At 55.3% G+C, this 25,583-nt stretch overlaps 2 protein-coding genes and 1 long non-coding RNA gene across 5 annotated transcripts, besides 4 other annotated features; 1 reads left to right on the forward strand and 2 right to left on the reverse strand.

The window, feature by feature from the left end:
- Window positions 294-10,354, reverse strand: GARIN5A (golgi associated RAB2 interactor 5A). Of its 2 annotated transcripts, none has more exons than NM_138411.3 (5): window positions 9,636-10,354; window positions 9,339-9,439; window positions 8,831-8,961; window positions 1,128-1,335; window positions 294-461 (listed from the first exon to the last, which is right to left on the reverse strand). In NM_138411.3, the coding sequence occupies exons 1-4, from the start codon at window positions 9,892-9,894 to the stop codon at window positions 1,131-1,133; spliced, it is 696 nt and encodes a 231-aa protein (NP_612420.1). In that variant the 5' UTR covers window positions 9,895-10,354; the 3' UTR covers window positions 294-461; window positions 1,128-1,130. The 2 variants fall into 2 exon arrangements, with proteins under 2 accessions (NP_612420.1, NP_001295358.1); NM_001308429.2 differs by having other exon boundaries at window positions 8,831-9,009.
- Window positions 718-904: a silencer, noted in NCBI's record as "fragment chr19:50970469-50970655 (GRCh37/hg19 assembly coordinates)". NCBI's record gives its function as "represses an EF-1alpha promoter that drives an FKBP-Casp9 reporter gene in an ReSE screen in HepG2 liver carcinoma cells {active_cell/tissue: HepG2}" and the evidence as "EXISTENCE:reporter gene assay evidence [ECO:0000049][PMID:32094911]".
- Window positions 9,651-10,151: an enhancer, noted in NCBI's record as "H3K27ac hESC enhancer chr19:50979402-50979902 (GRCh37/hg19 assembly coordinates)". NCBI's record gives its function as "activates a minimal SCP1, AML or CMV promoter by ChIP-STARR-seq in primed H9 embryonic stem cells {active_cell/tissue: H9 hESC(primed)}" and the evidence as "EXISTENCE:reporter gene assay evidence [ECO:0000049][PMID:30033119]".
- Window positions 9,651-10,217: a biological region, named in NCBI's record as "H3K27ac hESC enhancer GRCh37_chr19:50979402-50979902".
- Window positions 10,013-24,377, forward strand: EMC10 (ER membrane protein complex subunit 10). 2 transcript variants are annotated; one of them, NM_175063.6, is made up of 8 exons: window positions 10,013-10,164; window positions 11,435-11,507; window positions 12,463-12,572; window positions 13,617-13,721; window positions 14,087-14,268; window positions 14,390-14,483; window positions 15,367-15,453; window positions 15,655-24,377. In NM_175063.6, exons 1-7 carry the CDS (start codon window positions 10,051-10,053, stop codon window positions 15,451-15,453), a joined length of 765 nt encoding a protein of 254 aa, NP_778233.4. In that variant the 5' UTR covers window positions 10,013-10,050; the 3' UTR covers window positions 15,655-24,377. The 2 variants fall into 2 exon arrangements, with proteins under 2 accessions (NP_778233.4, NP_996261.1); NM_206538.4 differs by lacking the exon at window positions 15,367-15,453.
- Window positions 10,018-10,217: an enhancer, noted in NCBI's record as "active region_14989". NCBI's record gives its function as "activates an Ori minimal core promoter by ATAC-STARR-seq in GM12878 lymphoblastoid cells {active_cell/tissue: GM12878}" and the evidence as "EXISTENCE:reporter gene assay evidence [ECO:0000049][PMID:35858748]".
- On the reverse strand, window positions 20,316-22,399 carry MYREM (MYBPC2 cis regulating lncRNA enhancer of myogenesis). The gene is made up of 2 exons (NR_186349.1): window positions 20,898-22,399; window positions 20,316-20,694 (listed from the first exon to the last, which is right to left on the reverse strand). It is a non-coding gene; the product is annotated as an MYBPC2 cis regulating lncRNA enhancer of myogenesis (long non-coding RNA).

Below are 25,583 nucleotides of genomic sequence, written 5' to 3' on the forward strand. Positions count from 1 at the left end.
CAGAGGTGAACCCAAGCCCACGGGGAGGCCGGCCCCAGAGAAGCTGCTGGGAGGGAGGGAGGGTGCAGGCTAGGGGCAACGACAGTGGCAGCGAGTCAAAGACACACCCAGGCCACACCCAGAAGGCCACTCTACCGAAGCAGCTGTGTCGCTGTGGCCGCCTCTAGGCCTTGGCAGCGGCCCCAAGAGCTAGACGTGGTGAACCGAAGAGGGAGGCAGCCGTACTGGACAAACTCCTGCCAGGCAGCTGCGCGGACTTGGTGACGAAGGCGAAACCGCTCGTGGCCTGCTTGTTGGTTCTTAATGGACTGACCTTTATTAACTTTAATATCTCATCTGCCCGGCCCTGAGGCAAGGTACTTTGATCTCTGGTCATTCGGTGACCTTGAAGGATGCTGGAAGACTCAGAGTCCCCAGAGTTCAGAGGTCTTGGGGTCAAGTCTGGCTTCCACGCCTTGGGGCTGGGGAGAGAGAGTTTGTTTCAGAGGCCTTGGCCTGCAGTTAGGGAGTGAGGGGGCGGGGAGGGACTTTGCACTTACTGGAATGGCAGGGGAAGCCAGGTGTCCTAAGAGGGGGCACAGATTCCAGTGCCCCCAGCTTCTAAAACTGGCATCATCCCCTGCTCCACCTTGACCCCCAAGGCCCTACAGAGAACTGGACATTGGGCCTGGCTGACCCCACTCCTTCAGGGCACAGGTTGTCCCTCTCTAGACCCTACTCTGGTATGTCACGGGGAGAGGGGCTGGGGCACGGGTGTGGGTGGCTGTGTGTGTTCCCAAGTAGGATACGACAGCCCCCTTGGCTAGGGGTGCCAAGGCCCTGGAGAGACTGCTGGCTTCTACCCACAGACCCCCATATCCCTGGGTCACCTCTACTTCCAGAACCAGGAGTCCAGGCCCCAGCCCCTCCTCCCTCAGACCCAGGAGTCCAGGACCCCAGCCCTCATCTCCCTCAGACCCAGGAGTCCAGGACCCAAGCTCTCTCCTCTCTTAGACCTGGGAGTCCTCAGACACCTCCCCTCTGCCCTCTGCTGCCCCACTGCGCTTCCCCCCTCTCCTCACCTCCTCCCACTCCCTCTGGGCCTCCACCTCATCATCATCACCCTCCCCATCTACATCCTCCAGCACCTCTTACTCCTGCGTGAAGGGCACAGCAGAAGCAGAGAGGAAGCGCAGGCGGTAGAGCAGCCGCACCCACTGGCCGAACTCTCGGTCTCGGGTCTTGAGTGGGGCCCGCAGCTGCAAGTAGAAGGTGCGGCTGGTGTTCAACTTGACCTCGAGCTGACACCGGCTTTTGTCGTGGACAAAGAGCTGGACGAACTTCAAGGGGAACAGCCTGGGTGGGAGGAAGGGGCGGCCTCAGGTTCTGACCCTGTCGGGTCCTCCAGCACCGTCGGGGTCAGGGGTCCCCACCTTGCCACCCCTCCCTCTGCCCCACGAATCCCTTTCCACTTTCATTGCCTCTTGAACTTGAGTCCATTCCCAACTTTCTTCCAGCCACATGTCTCCTTTTTGTCTCCCACTAGTCCTCTCCCCTAAACTCCAGACTCGAATATACAACTGCCTACTTGAAATTTCCATCTGGGGCCAGGCGTGGTGGCTCACGCCTGTGATCCCAGCCCTTTGGGAGGCTGAGGCAGGAGGATCACCTGAGGTCAGGAGTTCGAGACCAGCCTGGCCAACATGGTGGAACCCCATCTCTACTAAAAATAGTAAAAATTAGCCGGGCGTGGTAGTGGGTACCTATAATCCCAGCTACTTTGGAGGCTGAGGCAGGAGAATTGCTTCAACCTGGGAGGCGGAGGTTGCAGTGAGCCGAGATCACGCCACTGCACTCCAGCCTGGGCGACAGAGAGAGGGACTGTGTCTCAAAAAAAAAAAAAAAAAAAAAAAAATCCCATCTTGGGTGTGGGATCTACCATCCGACTCATAACATGTTCAACAGCCCACTTCTCAAGCTCCCTCAGCCCCTCACACGCAGCCTACTCCTCTTGGTCTTCCCTGTCTTAGCTACATCCCCCTCTTGCTTGGTCAAAATCTTGGAGTCGCTGTGGACTCCATGTTCTCACACCCTGATGAGTCCTGACACCACATCCTGGTGGCTCCACTATTTTTTGTTGGTTTTTGAGATAGAGGGTCTCACTCTGTTGCTCAGGCTGGAGTGCAGTGGCACGGTCATAGCTCACTGCAGCCTCAACATCTTGGGCTCAAGCAATCCTCTTGCCTCGGCCTCCAGAGCAGCTGGGACTATACGCGCACCACCATGCCTGGCTAATTTTTCTATTTTTATATAGTAGAGATGGGGTTTCACCATGTTGGCCAGGCTGGTCTCCAACTCCTGGGCTCAAGTGATCCTCTCGTCTCTCAAAGTGCCGGGATTATAGGCATGAGCCACCTCACTTTGCCTGCCACCTTTAAAATGTATCCACAATCCAAACTCTTTTAACTCCCTCCTCCGCCACCCTTGCGTCCAGCCACCTGCCTCAGCCCTCAGTCCCTACAGTCTGTTCCCCACAAGTCCCCCAGAAGGCGCAGGTCAACACCTTGGGCAGTTTGGGTCCCTCTGCTCAGAGCCTTCCTGTGGCTCTGGCTCAACAGGAATAAACACAAAGCCCTCACCGTGGCCCACAGACCTGCAGAGCCCCTTGCTCCCTCTCTGCCCTCACCTCCTGCACCTCCAGCCACACTGGCCTCCCTGCTGTTCCATGAACACACCAGGCTCAGTCCGACCCTAGCACCTTTGCACAGATGGTTCCCTCCACCTGAAAAGCCCTTTCTCCAGGCAAGACCCGCCCCCTCATCGCCCTGTGTTTCAGGAGGCATGTTCTCAGGGATGTCTCCCCTGGCCTATTTCAACCACATCCACCCTGTTGAGACTTCCCCGTAGTCCTTTCCGGTCTGACGGAGCCCCACAGGCCTTGCCCATCTAACAAATGGCCACCTGTTCCCTCTGCCTGCCTGGTAGAGTGGGAGCTCCTGGAGGGCAGGGAGTTCCTGGAGGCCTGCTTTGTCCAGTGGTGAAAGTTTCCCTGGTACCCGCAGCTGACACGTGGCAGGTGCTCAGTGGATGCTTCAGTGGATGCTTTTTGAGTATCTTGGTAAATTGATTGCTCAGGCCCGCAGCCCGATTTAAGGTCCAACAGGGCAGAGCAGGAAGCAGTCAGGAAAGAGTGAGGATCTTGGCTCAGGTCACACAGCCAGGATTGGAGCCCAGGTCCCATGTTCACCTACAACACTGAGTAGCCAGGTGGCCTCTCTGGTCCAGCAGTATCACTGCCAGGAATGGATCTCACAGACACCCTCACACCTGTGCACAGACACATATGCGCGGATGTCCCCTGCCACACCGCCTGTAACCGAGATGCCAACAAACCCCAGTGTCCCTCAGTGGGTGACTTGATTTTTGTCCCCCAAATAGAAGAATAACAGCTGACATTTGTGGAGCACTTACTCAGAGCCAGTTGCTATTATATTTACCCAGTTTTTCCCCCGACAACCTTATGGGGTGTGCTCTCCTCTTATCCCTGTCATCCAGATGAGGAAACTGAGGCACAGGCAGGTAGGTTGAGCTTGGCCAAAGCCAGTGATGAAGTAACGCCAGGATTTGAAACCAAGCCGTCTGAGGGCAGGCATTTGTTTAAGGACGTTGCCTACCACTTTAACATGAGGAGGCTGGACACAGCTTGGTGTCTAAGACAGCAGAGCACGTGCAATGGTCAAAAAGAATCCAACTGTGCAGGCTGTGCACGGTGGCTCAGGCCTGTAATCGCAGCACTTTGGGAGGCCGAGGCAGGCGGATCACCTGAAGTCAGGAGTTTGAGACCAGCCTGACCAACATGGCAAAACCCTGTCTCTACTAAAAATACAAAATTAGCTGGGTGTGGTGGCACATGCCAGTAATCCCAGCTACTTGGGAGGCTGAGGCAGGAGAATTTCTTGAACCTGGGAGGCGGAGGTTGCAGTGAGCCAAGATCATGCCACTACACTCCAGCCTGGGCAACAAGAGTGAGGCTCCGTCTCAAAAAAAAAAAAGAGTCCAATTGTGCAAATATGTCTGAAAGAGTGTGGTGGCTGTGCTCATGGCAATACAAAACGGATATGGGTGTCGTGCTGACGAGGGGGTGGGCGCAGGGAGAAGTGGCGTATGGCTTGTGGCTACTGCTGTTTTTTTTTTTTTTTGAGATGGAGTCTCGCACTGTTTCCCGGGCTGGAGTGTAATGGCGCGATCTTGGCTCACTGCAACCTCCACCTCCTCGGTTCAAGTGATTCTCCTGCCTCAGCCTCCCGAGTAGCTGGGATTACAGGCGCCCGCCACCATGCCCGGCTAATTTTTGTATTTTTTAGTAGAGAGGGGGTTTCACTATGTTGGCCAGGTTGGTCTCAAACTCCTGACCTCGTGATCCACCCGCCTCGGCCTCCCAAAGTGCTGGAATTACAGGTGTGACCACCGCGCCCAGCCTGTGGCTACTGCTTTTTATTTTATTTTTTGAGAAAGGGTCCTGTTCCCATTGCCCAGGCTGGAATGGAGTGGCGTGATTACAGCTCACTGCAGCCTGGACCTGCTGGGCTCAAGCAATCCTCCCACCTCAGCCTCCTAAGTAGCTGGGACTACAGGCACACCCCACCATCCCTGGCTAATGTTTGTATTTTTAGTAGAGATGGGGTCTCACTATGTTGCCCAGGCTGGTCTCCAACTCCTGGGCTTAAGCAGTCCTCCCACCTTGGCCTCCCAAATGCTGGGATTACAGGTGTGAGCCACTGCACCCAGCCTTCTACTGCTGGTTTGTTTGTTTTGAGATAGTGTCTTGCTTTGTCACCCAGGCTGGAGTGCAGTGGTGAGATCTTGGCCACTGCAACCTCCGACTCCTGGGCTCAAATGATTCTCCTGCCTCAGCCTCCTGAGTAGCTGGGACTACAGGCGCCCATCATCATGTCTGGCTAATTTTTTGTATTTTTGTAGAGATAGGGTCTCACCATGTTGGCCAGGCTGGTCTCAAACTCCTGGCAATCAGGTGATCTGCCCACCTCAGCCTCCCAAAGTGCTGGGATTACAGGTGTGAGCCATCACACCCAGCCTCTACTGCTGTTTTTAAAGAAAGGATGGATCCATATATATGTGTGTATATATATGTGTGTATACATGTGTGTATATACGCATACATGCACGTGTGTGTATACGCATACATGCACGTGTGTGTATACGCATACATGCACGTGTGTGTATACGCATACATGCACGTGTGTGTATACGCATACATGCATGTGTATACGCATACATACCTGTGTGTATACGCATACATGCATGTGTATACGCATACATACCTGTGTGTATACGCATACATATCTGTGTGCATACGCATACATACATGTGTATATGTATGCATACATGTGTGTATATGTATGCATACATGTATGTGTGTATATGTGTATATACATGTATGTGTGTAAGTATATATACATGTATGTATGTATATATACATGTATGTGTGTATATGTATATATACGTGTATGTATATATACGTGTGTATATGTATATGTACGTGTGTGTATATGTATATATACGTGTGTGTATATGTGTATATATACATGTGTGTATATGTATATGTATATATACGTGTGTATATGTATATATACGTGTGTATATGTATGTATACGTGTGTATATGTATGTATACGTGTGTATATGTATGTATACATGTATGTGTGCATGTATATACATGTGTGTATGTATATATACATGTATGTGTGTATTATATATACATGTATGTGTGTATATATGTATATATACATGTATGTGTGTATATATGTATATATACATGTATGTGTGTATATATATATCTCTCTGTCAGAAACTGCCCCAGAATAGCTCAGGGCTGGAAGTTGGTTAGACAGAAGTGAGGGGCTAGGAGGTGAGTCCTGAGGCCAAATTTGCAGAGCAAGCTCAATGTTCTCACTTCAGTGGTATGTTCATTTGGGAAGGGGTTTTAGGGTGCCAAAGGAGCTTATGAGAGGGTCATAGCCACTCTCAGCACCATCATTGGTGTTCTTCCAACTGCAGGTCATGATTCAGTGAGTGATGAGATCAATTGGTGAAATACAGTTAGCATTTAAAATAAAAGGGGCTGGGCAAGGTGGGTCACACGTATAGTCCCAGCACTTTGGGAGGTTGAGGGAGGAGGATTGCTTGAGCCCAGGAGTTCGAGACCAGCTTGGGCAGCATGGTGAGACCTGTCTCTACAAAAAAATACAAAAATTAGCCAGGTGTGGGTGGTGCACACCTGTAGTCCCAGCTACTCAGGCAGCTGAGGTGGGAGGATCGCTTGCGCCTGCAGAGAACTGTGATCACTCCAGCCTGGATGACAGAGTGAGACCCTGTCTCAAAATTAAATGAATGAATGAATAAATAAAGGCCAGGCACAGTGGCTCATGCCTGTAATCCTAGTGCTTTGGGAGGCTGAGGTGGGAGGATCACTTGAGGCCCGGAGTTCAAGACCAGCCTGGGCAACATAGTGAGATCCCACCTCTACAACACATAAACAAAAATAAAGGTATAGTGTAGAAGAGAAAATATCTCAGGGTACTGTACTGGTGTCAGAATACTCCTTTGTGAAAGGTTTTTAACTTAGGCAGGGGGATTAATAAAGGCTGTAAGTCATCTCGAGTACATGCAGGTCAAAATCTGATTTGGCCACGAAATTAGAAAAGCAATCTTTTGGATTTCAGAAATGCAGAGAAGGAACTGTGGACCTTCATGTGTGCATGTGTGAGACAATGTGAGTTTGTCCTTCCTTCCTTCCCTCCTTCCTCTATTTCTCCCTCCTTACTTTCTTCCCTTTCTTCTTTTCTCTGTCTTCTTTCTTCCCTCTCTTTCTTTCTTTTTTAGAGAACGGGTCTCACTTCATTGCCCAGGCTGGAGTGCAGTGGTGTGATCACAGTTCACTGCAGCCTCGAACTCCTGGGCTCAAGTGATCCTCCTGGCTCAGCCCCAGTAGCTAGGACCACATGTATGTGTCACCATACCTGGCTAGCTTTGTAATTTTGATTTTTGTAGAGATGGGGGTCTTGCTATGTTGCCCAGGCTGGTCTTGAACTCCAAGCCTGAAGTAATCCTCCCACCTCAGCCTCCCAAAGTGCTGGGATTACAGGCATGAGTCACCATACCCGGCATCTCTCTTTCATGAACTGTGAGATGTGGTCAAAAAAGTGAAAGCCAGACAGGCATGGTAGCTCATGCCTGTAATCCCAGCACTTTGGGAGGCCCAGGCAGGCAGATCACCTGAGGTCAGGAGTTCGAGACCAGCCTGGCCAACATGGTGAAACCCCGTCTCTACTAAAAATACAAAAATTAGCTGGGCGTGGTGGCAGGCTCCTGTAATCCCAGCTACTCAGGAGGCTGAGGCAGGAGAATTGCTTGAACCCAGGAGGCAGAGGTTGCAGTGAGCCGAGGTTGTGCCACTGCACTCCAGCCTGGAGACTCTGTCTCAAAAAAACAAACAACAAAAAAAGTGAAAGCTACTGGCAGAATGTTTCTGTACTGTAGGCATGTAAACATTTCAGTGTTTGTAGCTGGAGTTGGGGCAGGAGCCTTGGGTGAGAAAAAGGAACAGCTTCTGCTGTCTATTTTGTGCTTGTTTTCTCGTTTGTTTGCATTACTTTTTCTTTTCTCTTTTCTTTTCTTTTTTATTCTCTCTTTTTTTTTTTGAGACAGAGTCTCACTCATTCTGTTACCCAGGTTGGAGTGCAGTGGGATGATCTCGGCTCACTGCAACCTCCACCTCTTGGGTTCAAGCAATTCTCCTGCCTCAGCCTCCCGAGTAGCTGGGATTACCGGCGCCCGCCACCACACCTGGCTAATTTTTTTTTTTTTTTTTGAGATGGAGTCTCGCTCTGTCGCCCAGGCTGGAGTGCAGTGGCGCAATCTCAGCTCACTGCAACCTCCGCCTCCTGGGTTCACGCCATTCTCCTGCCTCAGCCTCCCGAGTAGCTGGGACTACAGGCGCTCACCACCACGCCCGACTAATTTTTTGTATTTTTAGTAGAGACGGGGTTTCACTGTGTTAGCCAGGATGGTCTCGTTCTCTTGACCTCGTGATCCACCCACCTCAGCCTCCCAAAGTGCTGGGATTACAAGCGTGAGCCACCGCACCCGGCCCTGGCTAATTTTTTGTATTTCTGGTAGAGACAGGGTTTTGCTATGTTGGCCAGACCGGTCTCAAATTCCTGGCCTCAAATGATCTGCCTGCCTTGGCCTCCCAAAGTGCTGGGATTACAGGTGTGGGCCACCGCACCCGATCTGCATTACTTTTTCAATGAAAAAATATGACGTAAAGGGGCAGTGTGGAGTGAGGCACAGGAGGGCTCAAGAACCATGAGATCCACAATCATGACAAGCTTGGCATTCCAATCCTGGCCCACTCTGGAGCCACAGTGGGACCCTGGGCAACTGGCTCCCGGCTCTCTGAGCCTCAGTTTAGCTCTTTGGCGGATGGGGCTAAGGGACCCCACCATGTGAAGATATGAGGTCAGAGGTGAGATCGTATGCGCGGCCTAGGGGCGTCTGGCATGAGCAGGCCCTGCGGAAATGATCATTCTCCTGACCGCTGCTGGGGCATGGCTGAGGACTGTCCCCTTCAGGTCTGTCTAATCTCTGATTTCTGGCCCCTGAGGGCTGCTCTGTCCTTGTTCTCCCGGGTAGATGGCAGCTCAGGGAGGGCCGGTAGCACTGCCAGCTCCTGGCCCTGGGGGTGGTCTGGACGAGGGGAGGTACTGCTGGGGGCTCAGGTGCCTGGAGCTGAGGGAGGAAGGGGTCTCGGCTGAGGTGGGGGCAGTTACCCGAAGAGTTGCAGGTGTCCGTTCTCCTTGGCAGGGCCGGCCAGAAGCAATAGGTCCGGGAGCTCCAGGGCTGGACTGGAGGCTGCCACCCCCATGGTGACCTCGTTGGCAACTTCTCCCAACCGAGTCACCTGGGGCCAGAGGTCAGAGGTCGGGGCAGGATAGATGTCGGGGCAGAACTGAGGAGGGATCAGAGGTTAGGAATCTTGGTAGGGGAAAAGGTCATGAACCAGGTGAGTTGAAAATCAGGCTGGGGGCCAGATATCTTGAAATTAAAGTTCAAGAATCATATGGGTGTGAAGTCAGGGAAACTGAGGCAAGGGAGTTACAGGCCAGGGTTCACAAAGAATCTAGAGAACTAGAAGTATGGGGTGTCAGAGATCACATAGGAGTTGGGAGTCGGGAATCCCACGAGATGGACGTTATGGGGGAGCAGGGGCTTTCCAAGTCAGGAGGAGGTCGAGGGGCAGGCCGAGGCTGGGGATGAGGGGGTTCTGGGGCTCCCTACCTGTACGAAGTTGCTCTCAAAGATGGGGAAGTCCCGAAACTGGTCGAATTCGCCGCTCTGGAGGTAGCGTTGGAGCCGTCTGGGACGGCCCGTGGGAGAGGCTGCAACCAGGAGGCATTTTACCAGGACGAAGTCTGGGGGTCGATCCTGGGAGGCTGTGCCTGGCTTCCCAACTGAGAGGGCCCGGCACAGCCCCGCGGAGAGGACGGGGTATCAGATGCCCCCGAATTGCCGGCCCCATCCTACTTGGTTCCTTCACCAGGTCCAACCCCTCTAGGCCTGGCTCCCCTCTCTCACCTGCCATCCCACCTGGTTCCACCTCGCCAGCTCCACCCAGGGCCGGCTTAGGGCCGCGATCCCGCCTCATTGCAATGTCCCCGTCCGACGGGAGCGGACGGAGGAGCAGAGGGAGAAAGCGAGGGGGCGGGACTACGCGCACTGTGACGTCATGATGCGGAGCGGGCTTTATGACGTCACACAAGAGCGGGCTCCTGATTTGTGATGACGTCCCTGGAGGGGGCGGCTCCTGGAGATCAGGCCAAAGGGGCGGCCCCATCCTGCTGACGTCAGGCCCCAGGTGCGGACGGGTGCCAGTGCGCAGGTGCCGGGGCCCAGCGCAGGCGCACGGGCGTCAGGATGCGGCCTGTTCCTCCCGGCGTGCTCCGCGGCTCTTGGCTCACAGCCGTCCCTTCGCTGGTGGGAAGAAGCCGAGATGGCGGCAGCCAGCGCTGGGGCAACCCGGCTGCTCCTGCTCTTGCTGATGGCGGTAGCAGCGCCCAGTCGAGCCCGGGGCAGCGGCTGCCGGGCCGGGACTGGTGCGCGAGGGGTGAGTGCTCTTTAGCTGTGCATAGCGGGCGCGGTCTACGGATGTCGCAGGTCTTGGGTCTTTAGGTGAGTTACAGACGGAAGGAGGCTGCGCAGGGCTGAGAGGGAAGAGGTGGGAGATCCCTGGAAAGCCAGGCCTCAGTCACGCACGCGCAGGAGGGGCCTCGCCAGTGCACCGGGTTGCAAGGACTGGGTGGGAGGACAAGCGCACCTGTCGGAAGGCTCTGGCTCGGGAATATGTATGAGGGGGCGGGGCTGGGGGTGTGGAATCTTGGAGAATCCGACGTCCGGGCGGTTGAAATGAAAGAGGCAAGGTGAAGCCGGGCGCGGTGGCTCATCTGTCATCCCAACGCTTAGGGAGGCCGAGGCGGGAGGATTGCTCTAGGCCAGGAGTTCAAGACCAGCCTGGGCAACATAGCGAGCCCTGTCTCTACAAAAAATACTAAAAAAAAAAAAAAAATTAGGCCGGTCGCGGTGGCTCATGCTTGTAATCCCAGCACTTCGGGAAGCCGAGGCGGGCGGACCACTTGAAGTCAGGAGTTCAAGACCAGCCTGCTCAAAATGGTGAAACCCCGTCTCTACTAAAAACACAAAAATTAGCTGGATGTGGTGGCAGGTGCCTGTAATTCCAACTACTCGGGAGGCTGAGGCAGGAGAATCGCTTGAACCCAGGAGGCAGAGGTTGCAGGGAGCTGAGATCACGCTACTGCACTCCAGCCTGGGCGACTGAGCGAGACCCTGTCTCAGAAAAAGAAAATAAGGCGTGGGAGGGGGCTCTTGAGGAAGTGGAGATGAGTTTTGTCTCCTAAATATGCGTGAGTATGCAAGTTTGGAGGTTGGAGAAAAGGAAAGCATGAATCTTGAATGTGCTTAATAGGGACTGAACTCAGGCTGCATCTTGGCTATTGGGCTGTCAGGTGATAAGGAGGCCATTTGAATATTAGCATGAAAAAGAAGGCTTGGGAGAGGGAGAGTGTCATTTAACTCATGAGTATTTGTGGCGCAAGGCTTGGAAGTGACCTTGGGATAGTTGCTTTGGCAATGAGGTTAGGCATGTTTGTAGGGTCTGGTTTTCTGGGGGTGAGGGAGTGCAGAGTATGAATATTCATGAAATGGGTGGTTTCTAGTGAAATAAAGGCAAGCAGCAGTGATTAACTTGAAGATAAGGCTCCTCCCTCAGCCCACCAGTCTGTCTGTCCTGGGTTCTGTGGGTGACTACTATGCTGAGGGCTTGGGTGGTCCTCACCTGGGGCCTTCTGTGTCCTCTGCAGGCTGGGGCGGAAGGTCGAGAGGGCGAGGCCTGTGGCACGGTGGGGCTGCTGCTGGAGCACTCATTTGAGATCGGTGAGTCAGGCAACGTCCTCTCCTAGACACTTAACATTGGTGCCCTGAGAAGTCAAGACTTGGAGTCTGGGTGCCTCCCGTCGTATGACATTTACTAACAACCATTTACTAACAGATTTGCCTCAGGTTAGGGGAAAGTGGGACATGAAAGAAGAGAAACACTCTTTAAATGCCCCCTTGCCTGTGAGACAAACCTCAGTTTTTAAAAGGTCATCACAGCAGTAATAATTTCAGAGCGGCTTTCCTGATCAGTCGCCACGTGCCCAGCATTAGCGGTTCCACGCTTTGCAAGTATTAACTCAGATGTCCTCACAGCAGCCATGTGAGGTGGTAGGTATTCGTGTCAGCCCCTTTTTCCAGAAGAGGAAACGGGCTCAGAGTAGGCACCACACAAGGTCTCATCGTGAGTGAGTGGCAGAGCAGGGGCCAGCTTCAAACCCAAACTTAAATTGCCATGATGCAGGTGTCCAGGTTCCCAGAGCTGGACGTCAGTGCTGCCCAGAGTGTAGTAATCGAGTCTGAGGCCCCGAACCTGAGGGCACAAACCCTGAAGCTGGTGCCCCTCTGCAAACCCTGGCATCTGCTCAGTGAACAGCTCCCCTGATTCTGACATGGCCAGGTAGTTGGGAATTCCTGAACTCCACAGCCTCCGTATTTTGCAGTTGGGGAAGCTGAGGCTCAGAGAGGTTGTGTGGCTATCCCTGGGTCACCTGGTGAGGCAGAGGCAGGATTTGGGAGCTGTGGGGTTCATGCATCTGCTACGGGTTGCCTTGTGAGGTGGAACATGGTGGAGGTGTCCCCACTTTGCAGATAGCAAAATGGGGGCCCAGATGGGGAGGGAACCTGGTCACTCGGGTGGAGGCCAGGCCAAAATTTGAAGCTGGACCTCCTGGCCCCTGCCTGGGTTGAAGGGTGGGCGGGGGAGGGGGCGTCTCTGAACCTGAGCTCCTCACAGATGACAGTGCCAACTTCCGGAAGCGGGGCTCACTGCTCTGGAACCAGCAGGATGGTACCTTGTCCCTGTCACAGCGGCAGCTCAGCGAGGAGGAGCGGGGCCGACTCCGGGTGAGGTGGGGCCCTCAGGGCTGGGTGTGGATGGGGATGGAGGGTTTCCAGCTGTCTCTTCAGCCACCCCCTGCTGGTCCCCAGCAGCCTTCCCTCCAGGCCCAGGTGGGCTCCCAGCACCACCTGCCACTCTCAGCCTCTGTCCTCAATGACTGCCCCTGGAGGAACGGCATTGCAGTTCGTCTTAGCGCCGCCAGGCATGGTGTCCTGCATCACGGCCTCTTCCTGCACTGCTCCCTCTGCTGGCAGACCCCCTTCCCCTGCAGGTTCACACAGTCGGCTCCTCTTCTTTTCCAGATCAGCTGAGCTGTTTCATGACCACTTAGATGAGATTTGTTTGTGAGGAGAAAGCCTCAAAATAGCTATGGTTGGACAGGAGCTCACTTCTGTCGCCCTGTGTTGTGGCAGCCTCAAGGGCCCAGCTCAATCCTCCGCAGGGGTCATGCAGAGAGGCCCCAGGGCTCCAGGCAGCAGGATAGAGAGGGAGAAAGAGGGGCAGAAGGAGCAGCAGCATTTAGAGAAAGCTTGCAAAAGCTGGCACAACCCACTTCCACCCATCAGCCAGATGTAGCTGTGAGGGAGGCTGGGGAGTGCAGGCTTGATTCTGGTGGCCACGCGGTGAGGTCTGCCTGAGCACCCTTCCTGCATGGTACCCACATGATTCTCTTGTCACAGCTGTCCCCAAACAGAATTTATTATGCATGTAACTGGTACGTCCAGGCATAGGGTGGACGCCAGGTGCAGCTGGATCCAGGCACAGGGAAGGCGTCCTCAGGACCCACTCCATCGCTGGGCTGGGCTTTGCCCTCCTTGTGGTGGCTTTTCCCCTAGGTGGGGCGGTCCCAGCTGCTCCTGGCCTCACCCACCAGCCGGGCCACCCCAACAGGAAGAGTCCTGGGTCGACTCAGGTTGGCTGGCCTGGGGAGTGTGGGCCGTGAGGTGGGTGGGGCTGGAGAGGGGCCTTCGCGGAGGCCTGGTGGGCATCACAGCCTGTCCAGGGCTGACACCATCCTTCTGACCAGCACCCTCTTCTCCCATCCCCAGGATGTGGCAGCCCTGAATGGCCTGTACCGGGTCCGGATCCCAAGGCGACCCGGGGCCCTGGATGGCCTGGAAGCTGGTGGCTATGTCTCCTCCTTTGTCCCTGCGGTGAGTTGGTGTCGGGGATGAGCCCCCTTCTCCCTCGTCCTCCTCATCCCCTACCCTGGTCCTGCTTCCACCATTCGAACCCCTGTGTTTCTGGAGCCCGCAGAGGCCTGGGAGACTCAGACCTGGCCTTGCCTTCCGAGGCCTCCTGGTCTGGAGGGGTCGGTCCAGGTAGCGGGTGCTTTCATGGGGATAGCATTGTGAGGACTCCCGGGTGGGGGGCGGTTGAACTTGGGCCTGAGGGTAACAGGGAGCCATGGGAAGGTTTTGAAAAATGCTCCGGGGGTCCTGTGGTGGGGGCCGGGGGAGGTTAGGGTGGAGCCCAGGCAGCAGGCTCCCCACCTCCACTGACCCCACTCCCCCCACAGTGCTCCCTGGTGGAGTCGCACCTGTCGGACCAGCTGACCCTGCACGTGGATGTGGCCGGCAACGTGGTGGGCGTGTCGGTGGTGACGCACCCCGGGGGCTGCCGGGGCCATGAGGTGGAGGACGTGGACCTGGAGCTGTTCAACACCTCGGTGCAGCTGCAGCCGCCCACCACAGCCCCAGGGTGAGCCTCTGCTGCCTTCGCGGCGCTCTTGCCACCTGCCCCGGCCCTTCCTGGCGGCCTCAGGGTCTCCAGGTCCCTGGACTCCGGGCCTCACCCTTCTCCTCCTCTCCCCTTGCCCCAGCCCTGAGACGGCGGCCTTCATTGAGCGCCTGGAGATGGAACAGGCCCAGAAGGCCAAGAACCCCCAGGAGCAGAAGTCCTTCTTCGCCAAATACGTGAGTGGGGCTCCCCCGCCTCCCCTATTCCCTTCCTGACAGTCCCGGTGCCTGGCCAGGCCCTCCATGCTCCCACCCAGACTCCCCTATGGTGCTCGGGCCTGCTCCTTGTCCTCCGGGCCTCCTGTGTGTCCTGGTACCTGGGCTGAGGCTTGTTTGCAGGAAGAGGGTATGGAAGTGTGGTCAGGGGAGGTCGGGCCAGCTCTAGGGCGCAGGGTCCTGGGGGAGGTCTCGGCCTGAGCTAGGTTGGAGCCATGAGGCTGGAGAGGAAGGGAACAGTGGAGGTTTCAAAGGAACCAGGGAGGCTTGGAAAGGAGGGGCGAGCAGGTTCTTCAGGGGGTTGTACAGGAAGGAGAGAGGAGTGGGTCCGGGAGGGATGTGGCCCAGGGAGGGGCATTGGGGGCAGCAGGGTGCCTGGGAGGCCTCCTGGAGCTGAGGAGGGAGGGGCCTGTGCTGCCAGCAGCAGGTCTGAGTCCCGGGGGCTTAGAGGCTGAGGCGTGGGGTGGGGAGGCTGGGGACAGCCGGAGGAGGTGGCTTCCACCCAGGCCTCTGGTCCATTGAGTGTGGAGACTGGTGTTAGGTTGTGGCACAGGAGCCCAGGCAGGCCAAGGCCAGCGAAGAGGTCTGTGTGGCCCGAGGCAGGCTAGGAGGATGCTGAGGCTGGGATGGCTGAGCCCTGCTGTGCTGAGTGCCCTGCCTGAGGGCCTCACCCGCTCCGCCTGGATAGTCCAACAGTTGTGCTGCAGGGAACTGAGGCCCAGAGGCTGAGCCCTTGCCTGCTGGGCCCTGCCCTGCTGCCCACTCGAGCGCCCTCCCACTCCCTGCTGGCCCTCAGGCCCCACGGCAGCCCACTGGCCCTGACCTGCGCTCCCTCCCTCCCCAGTGGCACATCATCCTGGGGGGGGCCGTGTTGCTCACAGCCCTGCGTCCTGCTGCGCCAGGGCCCGCGCCACCGCCACAGGAGGCCTGAGTGAGGACCGAGACCCCTGCCCCTCCCTGCGCCCCACTGGCCCTCCCTGACCTGTAGTGACGTAGGGGACCTGGGCGCCCTCCCCTTACGCGACCTCCCCTCATGCCGGTCCCCACCGTGGGTGGGTGATGCCCACACTCACCTCCTTCCCCTCTCTCTCTCTTTCTGTGTCTGTCTGTCCATCCTTCCGTCCGGCTGCAGTGGATGTACATCATTCCCGTCGTCCTGTTCCTCATGATGTCAGGAGCGCCAGACACCGGGGGCCAGGGTGGGGGTGGGGGTGGGGGTGGTGGTGGGGGTAGTGGCCGGTGAGGGCCCAGGCTGGTCAGCGTCCCGTCTTGCACACCCAGGGGCCTCCCTTTCTGCTGGAGTCCCCTGTGTCCTCAGCCATCCCAAGAAGGGTTTGCTGGTCCCTCCTTTCCCCCCGTCCCACGAGGCCACCTGGGCCAGCCCCTTGTCCTCTGCCTTCTGCTGGCAGAGGAGCAGCTGGACTGGGGCCTTTGGCACAGCAGCCGGTGTCTCCTGCGCCCGCCTCCCCCATGGCCCCATGCAGCCCCAGGGGCTTCCCCCCTGCCCATGGAGTAGAGCCCGAGATCCTGGCCACTATGCCAGTTCTGACCTCGCATCCCCCTACCCCGAGCCCATGCAGTCTGGGAACATGCCGCCTTCTCTCCAGCCTCTGTGCCTTTGTTCCAGGTGGTCTCACCCTCCTGTCCCTGGCTGGGCTAGGTGGTCCTGTCCAGGCTCCTGCAGCGCCCCCCTCACTTTGACACTGGACTAGGATGCAGCCTCCCTTCTGTGTCCCCTTGAGGGTACCCTGGGTCCCCTCATCAGGGGCAGAGGCATGAAAGAGTCGGGGCTGGATGGCCGGGGGCTTCTGGGCCCGACGCCTAGTGCAGCCCCTGGGGTCGTGGTTTGACATTTGTCTGCCTGGTGCAAACAAGGAATCCTTGCCTTTAAGGTGACAGGCCCTCCACAGGCTTCCAGACTTGAAGGAAAAGGTTTAAGAAAGAAAACAAAACCAACAGTTAGTGGAGTCAAAGCCCAGACACTGTAAATAGAACCCCCTCCACCACCCCCCGCCGCCCAGCATCCTACCTGGACTGCGGTGCTACGAGGGCCTGCGGGCCTTTGCTGTGTGCCACCCTCCCTGTAAGTCTATTTAAAAACATCGACGATACATTGAAATGTGTGAACGTTTTGAAAAGCTACAGCTTCCAGCAGCCAAAAGCAACTGTTGTTTTGGCAAGACGGTCCTGATGTACAAGCTTGATTGAAATTCACTGCTCACTTGATACGTTATTCAGAAACCCAAGGAATGGCTGTCCCCATCCTCATGTGGCTGTGTGGAGCTCAGCTGTGTTGTGTGGCAGTTTATTAAACTGTCCCCCAGATCGACACGCAGCTAGCCTCCTGCATTGTATGGTTATAAATAGCACCCTAGTGAGTGCTGTCGTCCAGTCTCTCTTGGGTGTGGTTTGAATGATCTCGGGATGCATGACTAAAATGGAATTACGATGGCAGATCGGAAACGCGTTTATAAACAAGTGATGGTTTGTGAGTCGACTGTCAAGACCAGGAGGTGGTGCACCGTGGGAGGTTGCCTTCCCTCCCATCACTTCTTTTTGTTTTTGAGTCAGGGTCTTGCTCTGTTACCCAAGCTGGAGTGCAGTGGCGGTACCTTGACTCACTGCGACCTCCACCTCTCAGGCTCAGCGATTCTCCCACCTCAGCCTCCTGAGTAGCTGGAATTGTAGGCGTGCACCACCACGCGCAGCTAGTTTTTGTATTTTTTGTAGAGACGGGGTTTCACCATATTGCCCAGGCTGGTCGTGAACTGCTGGACTCGAGTGATCCACCTGCCTCGGCTTCCCAAAGTGCTGGGATTACAGGCGTGAGCCACCGCGCCTGGCCTATTTTTGGTAACTTTAATAAAGAAGATAGTCTTAGCATTGCTAACTTCTGTTTCTTTCTCCACCTGCAGGAGATAGCTTATGCTTTTTCTGTCTTCATTCCATGTGAATCCTGCTTCATTCTTTTCCTAGAGGATTCCAGAAATATTTACTAATGCTTTTTTTTTTTTTTTTTTTTTTTTTTTGAGGCAGAGTCTCGCTCTGTCATCCAGGCTGGAGTACAATGGCACGATCTCAGCTCACTGCAACCTCCGCTTCCTGAGTTTAAGCGATTCTCCTGCATCAGCCTCCCAAATAGCGGGGATTGCAGGCGCCCGCCAACACACCTGGCTAATTTTTGTATTGTTAGTAGAGACAGGGTTTCACCATGTTGGCCAGGCTAGTCTTGAACTCCTGACCTCAGGTGATCTACCTGCCTCAGCTTCCCAAAGTGCTGGGATTACAGGCATGAGCCACTGCGCCAGGCCTACTGATGCTTTTTGGGAAGTGTTCCCAACTTGGAGTCCTGGTCCCTGTGTCTGATCTGCAGATGTCTTCTACCCCGGCACTGGGGGAACATCTTATTTTTCCTGGGTTAAACATTGGGATCTTTATAAACCTGATTATGTCCTTTCCCTCTAAGTCTCGGTTGCTTTCAGGCTGGCAGGGTTACTCTGTTGGGTATTCCAGGAAATGCCTGAGCTCCTTCAGGCTCCCCTAGCGTTCTGTTCTTATTAAACTTTTCTTCCCCGTCTGGCCGGTCCTTGGGGAACCCACTCACTATTTTATTTTATTGACCGGGTTATCCAGGGATGAAGTATGAAACTCAAAAGATAGAGTAGGTTGGCCAGGCATAGTGATTCATGCTTGTAGTCCCAGCTGTTTGGGAGGCTGAGACAGGAGGATCGCTTGAGCCCCAGAGTTCGATGCTTCCTGAGCTGTGATTGAATCACTTTACTCCAGCCTGGGTGACAGAGTGAGACCCTGTCTCCAGAATAGACAAAAGATGCAGTGGAATCCACGTCCAGAAACTGTATGCTCACTCTGGGCTCCAGCACCCACTTCCCCTCCCTGGAGGCAGCCTGAGTTTTCTGTCCCCTGGTATGCTGCAGATACTCTCCACAGAAACAAGCAGATGCACATGTCAACAGTTTTGCAAGTGTTGCTCTTTTCCCCCACCTTCTTTTGACATAGCTGGGGCAGTTTCCATCTCTGGTATAAGGTGCCATCTTATTCCATCTCTGGTGTAAGAGTGTGTTGCTGGATTTGAGTAGTTCTAAGCAGCACTGCAGGAGTCCCCCTGTTCTGCTGCATCATTTTGCACACATATGTGTCTGTGGAAGACATGGCCCGGTGGGGCCCCACCTTGCTGGGGGAGAGGGATGTGTGTGTGATGGTGGTGCATGCTTCCCCCTTGCTACTCCAGGTGTCTGCCCCATCCCTTCACCCTGGAGGTTCCAGACAGCCCCTCTTCACCAGCGATTCCCCAACTCATCTCCAGCTCAGATCCCACCCCTGATCTCCAGACTCATGGCCCCAGCTGCCTCCTGGGCTCCTTCCCCAGGATGTGCCTCAGGGGCCACTAAAGGAGCCAGTGCCTCCCACCTGCCCGGATCGGGTGCTCCTCCAGGGATCTTTGTTCCAGTGAGTGGTGCCATCACCTGCCCAACCTCATGGACCAGAGCACTGCCCTGTCCCAATCACGTTCTCCTATGCACCACCATACCTACCCCTAAAGTTCTTCCTGGCCTCATCCCGTCACCTCTGTCTCCATGGCCTTGGTCCCAGCTCAAGCCTCGTCCTCTGCCACCTGGACCATCGGCCCAGCCTCCTCTTTGGCCTCCCAGCCCCCAACATCCCCCCCTCAGTCCATCCCCCTAATGGAGAGCTTCCTGACACTAGAGCTGACCTCACTACTCCCCTGCTCACAGCCCTCCGCGTGGCCTCTCACCTCCCCCAGGATAGAGTCCCAACCCATCCTTCTGTGTCTCCTCCTCTCTGTGTCCACTGTCCTGACCCTAACTCAATCCTCATTCTCTGCCTCCTGGACCCTCATCCTAGCCTCGTGACTTCTGGTCTAAGATGTGAGAGCACCTGGCAAGGTAAATGCTCCAGGAGGGGTTGCTCCCTCCCATTTCCTGCCACCAGAAAATGTTATCGGCTGCGTGGCATTGCGAAAGCCTTCCTCTTCCCAGCCTAGGGTTTCATGTGGGCATTTAGGTGCTCCCAGTACATAGTTGCATGGCAAACAATCCTAAAATATACAAGACTACATTTAGTATTTTGTAAAATTCTTTACTAACCCCAAATTGTCTACTGGAAACTATAGGCTCCTTTTTTTTTGGTGGGTGGGGGGCAGGTGTGTTTGTGGGATGGAGTTTCACTTGTCACCCAGGCTGGAGTGCAGTGGCTCAATTTTGGCTCAATGCAACCTCCACCTCCCAGGTTCAAGCAATTCTCTTGCCTCAGCCTCCTGAGTAGCTGGGATTACAACCGTGTGCCACCACACCCAGCCAATTTTTGTATTTTTAGTAGAGACCGGGTTTCACCATGTTGGCCAGGCTGGTCTTGAACTCCTGACCTCAAGCGATCCACCTTAGTCTCCTAAAGTGCTGGGATTACATGTGTGAGCCACCGCCCCTGGCCTCTGTAGGCTTCTTTAACCCATCAGAGAGACTCCCTGGTAAGGATTAGGGGCTAATTACTGGTGCCTCTTCAGCTGTCAGTCCATCCTCCTTTATTTGTACCCACCTTCCAGTCAGCAAGGCACAACAATGTTGTTACAAAGGAAACAAACTCAATTTGGCCCATTTCCTGGAAATGCAATCTCCCAAACAGGTTTGTGTGAACCAAATTCCATTTTCCTTTGTTTCCCATGTGCAGTCCCAGTTGCATTTCCATGGGAGCCAATCCACCCACCCATAGAATGACTTGAAAATGTGTGAAGTTCAGAAGTTTCATACCAAGAAGTTTGCTGAGCATGATGTTTGTATATTGATTAGGAGTAAAAATGTTCATTTTTACAAAATATTACAACTTCTCCCTCTCCCCTCCTTCCACCCAGTATCCCCTGTTCCTCCCCCAGGCATTCTGGTCACTGTTCCTTTTTGTTGAGATCATTCTCGGTGTCTCATATAGCTGGGTTGCAGCTCCGTTCTTTGCCAGGAGGTGGTAATAGAGGATTCCACGCACTCAGAATGCCTCAGGCCGGCGCCTGTGGCTTCTCTCAATGGAGGGAAGTGTCCTGCAGGGGGCGCTGTTGGTCCTTCAGGCAAGGTCGGGTTCCCTCGAAGTCTCTGTCTTAGCAGTTGCTGGTCTTCAGAAACATTGGGCACCAATTTTCTCATTTCTGAAATGGAATTCAGGTGAGGTCCCCTCAGTGCTGAGGTGCTTCATGTTGTCAGAGGAAGAGTTGGGAAGGGAGCGGAATGGAGCAGAAAGGCGTCATCCGCTGCTCACTGAGCTCAGATAGGAGGCCAGGGATCGGCAGATTCAGGAGCCCACTCCTGGCCAACCCCAGGGGCCCCACCCAGTCCTGTCCCTGCTCCTTACGTGCTGTGTATCTTTAGGCAAGTTGCTTCCTGTCTCTGAGCGTCGTCTTTGTTTCCGCCTTCCTGGGCCTACGGCAGGCCTGATTCCTCCAGGCAGTGTCCAGAGTTCCGGACAGATGGAAAAGGAAGAGAGAATGGGTGTCACAAAGGTCTGTCCACTCCTGGGCCTCAGGCTTGGGGGCCCTGCTCAGGGCTAGCCTGTTTGGGCCTCGGTATGGACTCCTGCCTCCTGGTCAGGACCTGGAAACCTGGGAGCAGGCAAGGCAGGAACAGGAGAGGGAGGCAAAGGCCCACCAGGCAGGGATGCAGGGGCCACCTGGAGACGGAGGAGACGGGGCTCCCGGGAGGGAGGCCAGTGGGAGTGAGAGCTTGAAGGAGAGAGAGCCAGGAGAGGAGACAGGTCCAGAGAGGAGGGAAAGGAAAGGACAGGGCAGAGACAGAGAAACCAGAGAGAGGGAAGGAAGAGAGACCCAAGGGGGAGAGACAGGGAAGGAAGAGGGAGGTGAGAAGAGGAAGAGGCAGATTCAGAGGAGAGAGGAGAGAAAAGAGGTGGAAATCAAACAGGAGAAAGAGGGAGGAGAGGAGGGAGGAGAGAGTGTAGGAAAAAAGCAGGAGGAAAGAGCCGGGCACGGTGGCTCACGCCTGTAATCCCAGCACTTTGGGAGGCCAAGGCAGGCAGATCACGAGGTGAGGAGATCGAGACCGTCCTGGCTAACACGGTGAAACCCTGTCTCTACTAAAAATACAAAAAAAAAATTAGCAGGGCATGGTGGCAGGCGCCTGTAGTCCCAGCTACTCGGGAGGCTGAGGCAGGAGAATGGCGTGAACCCTGGAGGCGGAGCTTGCAGTGAGCCGAGATTGCGCCACTGCACTCCAGCCTGGGCGACAGAGCGAGACTCCGTCTCAAAAAAAAAAAAAAAAAAAAAAAGAAAAGATGGCCAGAGCAGGAGGGGAGAGAGGAAGAGGGAGAAAGAAGGAAACAGTGTAGGGGGTCAGAAGTGGAAAGAGAAGAAAAAACAGAAGAGGAAAGAAAGACGAGGGGGTGAAAAAAGGGACAGGAAGGAAGAGAGGGAGAGGGTGGGTGCCATGGCTGGTGAGCTCGGAGAAGAGGGAAGCAGAGAAACGGGTGAAGGAGGGAGCGTCCTAGGGAGAAGTGGGTGGGGGAGAGGGTGTTGGGGGAGAAGAGGGTGGGGGAGAGGGGGCCCCGGGAGAGGGAGGGATGGAGGAGCGGGGAGCTCCAGCCAGAGAAGAGGAAAGAGAAAGGAGAGAGCTAGGAACTGGGAAGGAAAAGAGCTAGGAGGAGACCATGAGACAGAAAGAGAAGAGGGTGAAGAGAGAGGATAGTGGCTGGGAGGAGAGAGGAGGAGGGAGGAGCACAGAGGGAGAGGAGAGGAAACAGCCAGAGAATCTGCTAGAAGGGAGAGAGGAGAGAGAAGAGCCGGACAGGGAGAGCAGAAGTGAGAAAAAGGAGGGTGGCCACAGAGAGGACAGCGAGAAAAAGAGAACAGGAAGAGGGGAAAAGAGAAGAAATGGGAGAGGGAAGAAGGGTGGGAGAGAAAACGGAACAGAGAGGGGGCACAGACAGCGGACTGGACCGAGAGGGAGATGGAGCGGTGCGGAGGGGGAGAGAGAAAGAGGGAGGGAAGGAGGGTAGGAGAGGGCTGGAGATAGGGGAAAAGAGAAAAGGAGGGTAGGAGAGGGCTGGAGAGAGAAGGGAAGTTAAGAAGGGAAGGAGAGAGACAGACATTAGGGAAGAAGGAAAGGAGAAAGGAAAAAATACAAAAAAGGGCAGAGAGAAAAGAACAGGCCGGGCATGGTGCCTCGCACCTGTGGTCCCAGCACTTTGAGAGGCTAAGGCAGGAGGATCACTGGAGCCTGGGAGGTGGAGGCTGCACTACTGCACTCCAGCGGGTGAGTGAGCGAGAAAAAAAGCAGAAAGGAAAGAAGAGGTGCATGAGTGTGGAAGAGCAATATGGAGAGAAAGAAGGGAGAGAGGATTGGAAGTAGCGACAGAGGACCATGCCCCTCCAGCTGAGGAGGGGGCGCCCCTAAGACAGCGTCAGCCCAGAGACCGGGGCAGGAAGCAGGAACGTGAAGCAGGTTAGGAGCCAGTGTGAGGCACGGAGAGGGCCGGGTAGCTGGGCGGCGGGGGTGTCGTGGGCACAGCCCAGGCTACTGCGGGGACAGGCTGCCAGACCCGGCGGGTCCAGGTTGGGAACTCGGCCATGCAGCAGAAACGTTCCCTGCCTCAACAGGGCGCAGCCACCCCGGGGCCATCTCTGTGACCCAGGGAGAGAAAGGACAACGAATGGGACTAGACGAGGATGGGGAGGAACAGAGCAGCTGTGGAAGGTGCGGCAGAGAAGGGCCCAGGAGAAAGGAGGAAGGGAAGGAGCTGGAGGGGCGGGAGAACAGGAGACAGAACAGGACAGAGACAGCTGCCCGGGAGGATGGGAGAACAGAAAGAGGGAGGAAACGCCGAGCACTGACCTGGGGGAGGGGAGTAAAGAGAAGTGAAGGGGGATTGGAAGGGAACTGGAGAATGAGAGAAGCAACAGGCGGGGTGCGTGTAGGAGGGCGGGAGAGCCAATGACAAGACAGAAAAGGCAGAGAAAGCAAAGCAAGACCAGACTCCTCATCCGGTAACACTGTGTCAGGTCATTGCCCTCCCACCCCGCCCCCAACCCCATAACTGAAAACAAGTAGGAACCTGGATAAAATAGTCTTAACAATTTTTTTTTTGAGACGGAGTCTTGCTGTGTTGCCCAAGCTAGAGTGCAGTGGCGCGATCTCGGCTCACTGCAAACTCCGCCTCCCGGGTTTAAGCGATTCTCCTGCCTCAGCCTCCCAAGTAGCTGGGATTACAGGGGCCCGCCATCGTGCCTGCTAATTTTTGTATTTTTTAGTAGAGACGGGGTTTCACCATTTTGGCTAGGCTGGTCTCGAATTCCTGACCTCATGATCCGCCCACCTTGGCCTCCCAAAGTGCTGGGATTACAGGCGTTGAGCCACCGTGGCCGGCCCTTAAAAGCATCAAACTACATACAAGACCGTAAGGAAGCTGTGGGTCAACGCGGAGGGACGTGGGAACCCATCCCGGTGAAGCGGCAGCGTCACGTCCTTTCTCCCAGGGATCTGTTGGTCGGAGACATCTGGACTTTCATGTGGACAGCCTGAGTGACAGGGGGACCCAGGGGCCTCACCTGGGCTACCTGGGGTGGGTGGACCCTCCACTGTGCCAAGGTGCAGCCTGGGCTCGGAGGAACATGCCCTCCGCCTAGTCCCTGACATCCTTTTCACATCCAACACGCAGAGCAGGGGCGTGAGGGAGCAGGCAAGCAGGGAAGGGAAAGACAATGAGCAAGAGCCAGCGGGACGGTGGGGCGGATGGCAGAGGCTTCGCTGCTGGAAAATCAGACGCAGAGTACGAAACGCCTGTGCTCACTATGTTAATAATAATAATAAAAGGCAAAAAACCAGGCTCATTGATACACTGATATTAACAAGAACAAAGTACTGAGAGAGAGAGAGAGAGGTGAGGAGGAAGGCAGAAGAGGGAAGGCTGGCTTTCCTGCCGTCCACTTTGTGACCTCCTGCGTGATGGCGCGTCCTTCCAAGTCATGGGGTAACGTCCTTGTGGCCCAGATAATGAGCTGCAGACGGACGGGAATGTGCAACTGTGGAGACACGCGAGCTTATGGTCCCAGGACCTGGCAGGACATGAAATGAGTTTCTTAAAGGGTGAAACAGATTGCAGGACCAATCGTCCCGATCGTCCAAGGCAGGATAAAAATATCCCAGCATGCGGAGGAGCCCTCCCTGCCCAGTCTCCTCCGAGGGGCCTCGGGGCCTCTGCAGCTGCAGCTGTTGGAGTCATCAAGAAGACGGGGACGCGGGAGGGGGACAGGGACCAGGAGGCGAGGGGATGGCGGGAGTCGGGGGTGGGGTTGGGCGGGGTGGGGAGAAGGCTGTCAGCGCCAGGCTCAGACGAGCCGGTGGGAGCAGAGACGAGGAGAGGGAAGGGTCAAGGACAATGACTGGCAGAGGAACTGGAAAGGAAGGAGCGGGCATGGAGAGGCGGAGCTGGGAAGGACTTGGGGGACTAGAGGCGAGGGGAGAGAGCTTGTGGGGTGAGGGAGAAAACGGAGAGGAAAGAGCGAGTGAAGGTGAGGATGGAAAGGAAACAGGAAAGCCCCATGGAGGGGAGGATGGGAGAAATAGAGTGTGTCAGAGACAGAGAGGGAGAGAGAGATGGCGAGAGATGGAGAGAGAAAGAGACAGCGAGAGAGACAGAGACGTTGAGAGAAACAGAGATAGCGAGAAAGAGTGAGAGAAAGAGACAGGGAGACAGCAAGAGAGACAGTGAGAGAGACAGTAAGAGGGAGACCGAGAGAGAGAGTGAGAGACAGACAGCGAGAGAGAGACAGTAAAAGAGAGATAGCCAGAGAGAGACAGACAATGAGACAGAAAGCGAGAGACAGAGAGAGACAGTGAGAGAAACAGACAAAATGATGGCGAGAGAGTGAGAAAGAAAGAGACAGCGAGAGAAACAGAGACAATGATGGCAAGAGAGTGAGAGAGACAGAGCGAGAGAGACAGAGACGGACTGAGAAAATGAGACAGAGACAGCGAGAGATGGGAGAGACAGGGAGAGAGAGAGAGAGAGAGAGAGAGAGAGAGAGAGAGA

Source organism: Homo sapiens, chromosome 19, assembly GCF_000001405.40.
Source record: "Homo sapiens chromosome 19, GRCh38.p14 Primary Assembly".
NCBI lineage: Eukaryota > Metazoa > Chordata > Mammalia > Primates > Hominidae > Homo > Homo sapiens.

What these genes read in the sequence shown, in the direction of transcription:
- GARIN5A (NM_001308429.2), bottom strand. Translation starts at nt 9,894, where the DNA reads ATGGGGCCGCCCCTTTGGCCTGATCTCCAGGAGCCGCCCCCTCCAGGG. An exon ending in GGAACCAGGTGGGATGGCAG is followed by an intron (nt 9,440 to 9,635) that starts GTGAGAGAGGGG and finishes TCCTGGTTGCAG; the next exon opens with CCTCTCCCACGGGCCGTCCC. An exon ending in GGACACCTGCAACTCTTCGG is followed by an intron (nt 1,336 to 8,830) that starts GTAACTGCCCCC and finishes CCTCCCACCCAG; the next exon opens with GCTGTTCCCCTTGAAGTTCG.
- EMC10 (NM_206538.4), top strand. Translation starts at nt 10,051, where the DNA reads ATGGCGGCAGCCAGCGCTGGGGCAACCCGGCTGCTCCTGCTCTTGCTG. An exon ending in GGAGCACTCATTTGAGATCG is followed by an intron (nt 11,508 to 12,462) that starts GTGAGTCAGGCA and finishes AGCTCCTCACAG; the next exon opens with ATGACAGTGCCAACTTCCGG. An exon ending in AGTCCTTCTTCGCCAAATAC is followed by an intron (nt 14,484 to 15,654) that starts GTGAGTGGGGCT and finishes GTCCGGCTGCAG; the next exon opens with TGGATGTACATCATTCCCGT.